The sequence below is a fragment of the Homo sapiens genome, chromosome 11 (assembly GCF_000001405.40).
Source record: "Homo sapiens chromosome 11, GRCh38.p14 Primary Assembly".
Classification (NCBI taxonomy): Eukaryota; Metazoa; Chordata; class Mammalia; order Primates; family Hominidae; genus Homo; species Homo sapiens.
In genome coordinates, this window is record NC_000011.10 from 114,382,906 (window position 1) to 114,391,408 (window position 8,503).

Consider the following 8,503-nt stretch of genomic DNA (forward strand, 5'->3'; position numbering starts at 1 on the left):
GTTAAATGGTATTCCTGTTTCTAGCCCTTGGAGGAATCACCATACTTCTTTTCACAACAGTTGAACTAATTTACACTCCCACCAACAGTGTATAAGTGTTCCCTTTTATTTGCAACCTCACCAACATTTGTTATTTTTTGACTTTTTAATGATAGCCATTCTGAATGGTGTGAGATGGTATCTTATTGTGGTTTTGATTTGCTTTCCTGTAATGATTGGCGACATTGAGCTTTTTTTCATATGCTTGTCAGTTGCAGGTATGTCTTCTTTTGAAAAGTGTCTGTTCATGTTCTTTGCCCACTTTTTAATGGGGCTGTTTGTTTTTCTCTTGTAAATTTGTTTAAGTTCCTTATAGATTCTGGATATTAGATCTTTTTTAGATGCATATTTTGCAAGTATTTCTTCCCATTCTGTAGGTTGTCTGTTTACTCTGTTGATAGTTTCTTTTGCTGCGCAGCAGCTCTTAAGTTTAATTAGATTGCGTTTGTCAATTTTTCAGCAGATTTTCAAAGGGGTTCTTTACTCCAGAAAAGTTTAAAAGCCTGCAGTTTGAAGGAGATTGCATAATGCCAAGAGATTACCCAATCTTAACGTTTCTTATTATCATGTCTAGGCCAAGCCATCAAGTCCACCCTCTCCCTCTTGCTACCTTCTTCTTTCTTCCCTGCTGCAAGCCCAAGGAGATGGCAACTGAGACTCTGACTGTGCTTCTGCTCTATTTTTATCACAGAAGACATAGTTCACTAAACCTCTCCACCCCATCAGGCTAATTACCTCCTCCCAGAAAGACTTCTCCTCCTGATGCCATCAGAGGAAAACAATATGTGTCAACTAGAAGTGACCTGTTCTTCAATAGGCATTGAGCACTGGTTCACTTCTAGGAACTTTTCTACAATTAAATACTTTGCCTAAATTAATATTCACTACAACTCCATGAGTTGCCCTTTTTTTTTTTTTTTGAGATGGAGTCTTGCTCTGTTGCCCAGGCTGGAGTGCAGTGATACAACCTCAGCTCACTGCAACCTCCACCTCCCAGGTTCAAGCAATTCTCCTGCCTCAGCCTCCTGAGTAGCTGGGATTACAGGCACACACCACCACGCCTGGCTAATTTTTTGTATTTTTAGTAGAGACCGGGTTTCACCATGTTGGTCAGGCTGGTCTTGAACTCCTGACCTCATGATCCACCTGCCTCGGCCTCCCAAAGTGCTACGATTACAGGTGTGAGCCACGGTGCCTGGCCGAGTTGGCTTTTTTTATTATTATTTTAAAGAGGAAGTAACTGAGTCTAAAAATGATTAAGTAAATTGTCCAAGTTCACATGTCTGGTATATCCAAAAGGAAACCATTGAAGGATATTTAAGTTGGAGAGTGGTATAGTCAGTTTGCATTCTTAAAAGATTACTGATGCCTGTGTGGAAAATTAGTTGAAGGAGTATAAGAGTAGGATGAGAGAGAACACTTTACAAGCTATTGCAGGACTATAGACAAGAGATGATGGTGGCTTGGAGCAGAGAGGTAACAGTAGATGGAGTCAGAGTATAGATATGGTAGACTGGATTTGATATTGACTAAATGTCGTAAAGAGAAGGAGTGTAGTGTCAAAATGACTCTCAGGTATCTAGTATGAGCCATTGGCTTGACAGTGGTGGTAACCAGCCTCCAAGATGGCCCAAATGATCCTTATCTCCTGGTCTTTACACTCTTATGACTCACCTTCCACATTAAATTGTGGCTAGCCTGTGTGACTAAAAGAATACTGAGAAAGCGACAGTGTTTGCCTTCTGAGGCTGGGTTATGAAAGATATTGCAGCTTTCTCCTTGTTCTCTCTTGGATTGCCTGTTCTGGAGAGGAAGTCAGCCACCATGTTGTGAGGACAGCCAAGCAGCCCTCTGGAGCCCTATAAAAAGGTCCACATGGGGAAGAACTGAGGTCTCCTACCAACAGACTGCACCAGCTTACCAGATATATGAGTGAGCCATCTTGGAAGGGGATCCTTCATACCCATTTGAGCCATCAGATGGCTGCAGCCCTGGCCAACATCTTACTGCAACCTTGTGAGAGACTTTTAGCCAGACCACCTAGGTAAACTACTCCCAAATTTCTGACCCACAGAAACTGTAAGGTAATAAATGTTCGTTATTTTTTAAACCACCAGATTTTTGTAATTTGTTTCACAGCACCAGATAACTAATTCATTAGTACCAGGTTAGGGTTTTTGAATAAGGAGTGATAAGTTTGGCTTGGGCATGTTGAGTTTGAGATGCCATCTAAATGGAGACAGTAAGTAAACAGTTATGCATACAAATTATTATACACAATCTGAAGCTCAGGGAGATCTGGATTAGAGATTTGATCTGGGAGTCCTCAGCATATGGATGACATTTGAAATAAGAATGAATATGAAGAAACAGAAGAAAAGAGAGCATGGAAGGCTTCTGGGAGGAGGTAATAGCTGATCTAAATTTTTATGTATGATTAGGGGTTAGCCTGGAAAAGGAGCTGAAGATATAAACAGGAGAAATCCTAGGAAGTTAGGATATAAATAAACTACTTGTTTTGATTTGATTTGAGGCTATGTGCATTTCTAAGAATCCCCTAGCTAAATGATAAAGTTCTCAGTCCATCATGTACCTCCTCCAAAGGCTATCCTTGATATTGTGTTAAAAGGATAAATGAAATTACTACATAAAAATAAGCATAAATATTTGTGCTTAATAAAGAATATATATGCAGCAAAAAATTTATTTTTGCAGATAGAAAAATTAGAATTAGCAATAACAAAGTAATTGGTAACAATGTTCTATACCTCCTCAAGCCCTCTTTCATAAGCCAAGTGGTTGGAGAAATAGGTATTTTCACTCAGCTGCCTCTTTCATTTCTCTTTATGTGTCCTGGTTGCTACATAGAACCTATATTATAAATAAAACTGTAATATTTATATATTGAATGATGTATTAAAAAGTGGCATCGAGAATACCTGGAAAGATTTCAGAGATGAGTTAGATTCTAAGAGTCAAATAAGAACTACAGAGCTAGCAATCAGGAAAAAACGATAGATATTTAAAGTTACTCTGCCATTTGATTAGCCCAAATGGCAAGTGTCTATGTTCACAATTCCTGCGTTCAATGTTCAATAGAAAAAAAGGAATGTGTTTTCTTCTCTGTCACAGTCAGGTGAGAAAGGATTAACTCAGCTACCTGACTTTTGAAATTTAATGGATGTATTTATGGAGGGATATTAGAGGTGACTGATCTTGATTCAAAAATGTTAAATTTCCTAAACCTGGACTATGTTTTCAAAAATTCAAGATGCATTTAACAAAGCAAGGAAAAATAAATTCAGGCTGCTAGCTTGGCAGCTGGTCTGGATACAGTATTTTGCTCTGTTTACTCTGTCAGGAAGCCAGTTCCATTTGATTAAATTCTGAAATTAGAATGCATGCACTCTGGAAGATACTAAGCAGCTTCATGCTTTTACCCGTATGGAAAACGTGATTAAGGAAATGAACTCAATGGCTGTAGCATCAGAAGAGATCAATGCAACAGCTGTATTCAACTGGGCTCAATGGGCTAGACCTTTACTTTATTAAAATGGATGGCTTTAGCATAGAAACTGTGTCCACATCACAAAACTGCCATATTGCTCTGAACTCAGGCCTAGAAAGGAGCCAAGTGGAACTGCCATCAAATATTATGGCAGCAGTGGAAATGAAGATCTGCTCTCACACCACAAAGCTAAAATTTAGCCAAAATGAGAGATAATTAAAGAATTTATATGCAGTATTTCCACACCAACATATTAGATTGTTTCCAAAACTGCTGGAATGTCATCATTTGGCAAGTTTGCCAGAATTCCCCCACAAAAATCTTGAAATTTCCTGTGGCGTGGCAACATCTTTTGCTTTGCCTGAAATGAAGTAGCCTATAAATATTAATTTATATGTAAAATATTGTCAGAGGCCAGCTACACCCAGATAACCCAGCAACAAAGACCTCACTGTGTCCATTTACCCAGTTAACAGCAAGAAAGTTGGGATTTTATTGGAAAATACTTACATTGTTGACCTATGATTGCCAAGTCTTCACTTTGGCCATATAGGCTTGTTAATAAGTTGAAAAATGAAATGGAATTGAGGTATTATTGTATCTGTGAAGTGCAGAGGATGTAAAGGAAGTATGACCTAAGAGATGTTGAACTGGAGGATGGTCGAGAAAGGACTTTCTAGAAACAGAAGTGCATTAATATAGACACTGTGCTCGAGGAGCTGATCCTCAAGCTTCAGATGTTAAGGAGCTCTTTGTAAGGGCCTCCAAATATGATGAGGTTCTTTGGAACTGTCTCATACTAACCAAACTGACAAGAAGTTGGTACATAAAGCAGAATGCCAATAACCATGTGCTATGGTTTGAATGTCCCCTCCAAAACTGAAGTTGAAATTTAATTGCAAATGTGATAATATTAGGAAGTAGGACCTTTAAGAAGTGATTAGGTCATAAGGGCTCTGTAGGAGTTTGGCACGTTTTTCTTTGTCTCAGCCCTTCCTTGCTCTTCTGCCATGGGATAACACATTGCACAGCATGAAGGCCTTCACCAGATGTTGGCATCATGCTCTTGGATTTCCCAGCCTCCATAACTGTTAACCAAATAAATGTATATTCTTTACAAATTACTCAGTCTGTGGCATTCTGTTATAGCAGCAGAAAATGGACTAAGACACCTTGGGGCTTGGAATGCTCAGATGAACTGAGTACACTCTCTCCCTGAAGACATGCTAGATCGATGTTTGCTTTTACAGCTTGGAGCAAGGGCAAAACAACAACAACAACAACAACAACAACAACCGATGGGTTTCACTTGGCAGTTTTATCTGGCCAGGCATGAGATGTTAGTGTTCTCACATTGGGGCACACACTTCCCTACAGGAGAAACCCTGGCAAATACTTGCTTATAAGATTGTCTCTTTATAAATACCATGTAGACTACCCTTTTTGCAATAAAATATTTTTGTTTATTTTCCAATTTTATTGAAATATATAATTTATATACAGAGCCAGGTGTGGTGGCTCACACCTGTAACCCCAGCTACTCAGGAGGTTGAGGTGGAAGGATCACTTGAGCCCGGGAGTTTGAGGTTACAATGAGCTATGATCACACCACTGCACTACAGCCTGGGCAATAGAGCGAGACCACATCTCTAAGTAAATAAGTAAATAATTTATATACAATAAATCCATCCATTCAAAATGTACGGCTTGATAAGTTTTGACTGTTATATATACCCATGTAATAATCATTACAATCAAACATAGAATATTTTCATCACCTTCCAAACAATTTCTGTGTCCTCTCTTCCCAATCAATTATCATCCTCAAGCAAGCCCCAATAAGCTTTTACCAATATACATTAGATTTATCTTTTCTAGAGTTTCATCTACGTAGAATCATATGTATATAGTCTTTTGTGTCTGGCTGCTTTCACTCAGCATGCTCTTGAGATTTATTGATGTTGTGTGTATATCAGTAAATAATTCCTTTTTATTGCTGAGTAGTACTTCATGGCATAAATATACTACAACTGTTTACCCACAATAGCCTTAGACAGTACTTTCAGAGTAAGTTTATAAGGTGCCCTCCTATTAGAGCCAATTATGAAATGGAACTTAATATAAGATGCAGTTAATTTTTGTTTTTTTTTTTATAGCCAGGGTCTCACTCTGTTGCCCAGGCTAGAGTGCAGGGGTGGGATCATAGCTCACTGTAACCTTGAACTCCTAGGCTCAAGCAAACCTCCTGCCTCAGCCTCCTGAGTAGCTGGGACTACAGGTACACACCACCACATACTAATTTTTTATTTTTTGTAGATACAGGATCTCACTAGGTTGCCTAGGCTGGTCTCAAAGTCCTGGCCTCAAGCGATCCTCCTGCTTCAGCCTCCCAAACCCCTGAGATTATGAGCGTGAGCCTGTGCCTGGCTAGGGTCTATTTTTAGTAGCCACATATAAAGAGGATTTAGTGACATCATCCTAAGACCTCATATATGATTTTACACATGTATATTTTGCACAATGATCAGAATGATGACCTCCCAAATCATATTATATACAGGCTCACACACATAACTTAGTTTTACAAATATATTTTAAAATGATTTAAAACAAGCATTGAAAAAAGGGCTTCCCAGAATTAAACAACGAAAAAACAAAAACATGATCTGCACATTTTAAATAAGGTTTTATATCTAGGTATTTTATAGATGTAAATAAACACACGTTAAACTAAAGAATGCCACCTTCTCCAGTTAATAAAGAGACTACTTGTGCTCAACAAATTCATTGAGTCCAGGGACCATAATCTAACCCACTATTGTATCAATATGAACCATCTTTGTTGTTTTTTTTTTTTTTTTCAAGACGGAGTTTTGCTCTTGTTGCCCAGGCTGGAGTGCAATGGCACGATCTCAGCTCACTGCAACCTCTGCCTCCTGGGTTCAAGTGATTCTCCTGCCTCAGCCTCCTAATAGCTGGGATAATTATAGGTGCCCGCCACCACACCTGGCTAATTTTTTGTATTTTTAGTAGAGACGGGGTTTCACCATGGTGACCAGGCTGGTCTTGAATTCCTGACTTCAGGTGATCCACCTGCCTCGGCCTCCCAAAGTGCTGGGATTACAGGCGTGAGCCACCATGCCCCGCCCAGAAAATACTTCTAAAACTTTAAATTATCTGTAAAATATTTAAATAAAGATATTACTATTTCTCTTTATTTCTTTTTTTTTTTTAATTAAAAAAATTTTTTTTGTAGAGATGGAAGTCTTCCTATGTTAACCAGCTGGTCTCCAACTGCTGGACTCAAGCAATTCTCCTGCCTTGGCCTCCTAAAGCACTGAGATCACCGGTGTGTGCCACAGCACCCAGCCTCTCTTTCTTTTCTTTTCTTTTTTTGAGACAGAGTCTCACTCTGTTGCCCAGGCTGGAGTGCAGTGGCACGATCTTGGTTCATTGCAACCTCCATCCCCTGGGTTCCAGTAATTCTTCTGCCTCAGCTTCCCAAGTAGCTGGGGTTACAGGCATAAGCCACCATGCTTGGCTAATGTTTGTATTTTTAGTAAAGACAGGGTTTCACAATGTTGGCCAGGCTGGTCTCAAACTTCTGACCTCAGGTGATCCACCCACCTTGGCCTCCCAAAGTGCTGGGATTACAGGCGTGAGCCACCACACCTGGCCTACAATCTTTGTTTTGATAGAGTTTAACAATCTTTGTTTGACAGTGTTTAAGAAAAATGATTCAGCAGAGCTAATGCATTTGTTCTTTGGCCTAGGCTGTAGCCCCTATACATAATTTATTATTATTTTGAAATGACCTACTGGGAGGACAATGCAAGAATTGATTGATTTATGTTAAGTAGTTAATAATAGTCTAAACTTAATATGATTAAGAGATACAGAGGCCAGGCATGGTGGCTCACGCCTGTAATCCCAGAACTTTGGGAGGCTGAGGTGGACGAACACCTGAGGTCAGGAGTTGGAGACCAGCCTGGCCCACATGGTGAAACCCTGTCTCTACTAAAAATACAAAAATAAGCTGGGTGTGGTGGCTCATGCCTGTAATCCCAGCTACTCGGGAAGCTGAGGCAGGAGAATTACTTGAACCCAGGAGGCGGAGGCTGCAATGAACCAAGATTGTGCCACTTGCACTCCAGCCTGGGCAACAGAGCGAGACTCTGTCTCAAAAAAAAAAAAAAAAAAAAAAGAGAAAAGAAATAAAGAGAGGCTGGGCACTGTGGCTCATGCCTGTAATCCCAGCGCTTTGGGAGGCCAAGGCAGGAGAATTGCTTGAGGCCAGGAGTTGGAGACCAGCTGGTTAACATAGTAAGACCCCATCTCTACAAAAAAAATTTTTTAATTAAAAAAAAGAAATAAAGAGAAATTGTAATAGCTTTATTTAAATATTTTACAGATAATTTAAAGTTTTAAGAGTATTTTCTGGGTGGGGTGCTGTGGCTCACGCCTGTAATCCCAGCACTTTGGGAGGCCGAGGTGGGTGGGCTACCTGAGGTCAGGAGACCAGCCTGGTCCAACATGGTGGAACCCCGTCTCTACTAAAAATACAAAAAAATTAGCCAGGTGTGGTGGCAGGCGTCTGTAATCCCAGCTACTAGGGAGGCTGAGGCAGGAGAATCGCTTGAACCTGGGAGGCAGAGGTTGCAGGGAGCCGAGATCGTGCCATTGCACTCCAGCCTGGGCTACAAGTGTGAGACTCTGTCTCAAAAAAATAAAATAAATAAAATAAATAAAAAATTCTGACTGGGCATGGTAGCTCATACCTGTAATACCAGCGCTTTGCGAGGCTGAGGTCAGAGGATCACTTGTAGTCAGGAGTTCAAGACCAGCCTGGGCAACATAGAAAGACCCCATCTCTACAAAAAGTAAAAATAAAATAAATATGTTTCCTGATTAAAATTTGCAATTATGCATTCGGAAAAATATAATGAGCAAAGTACA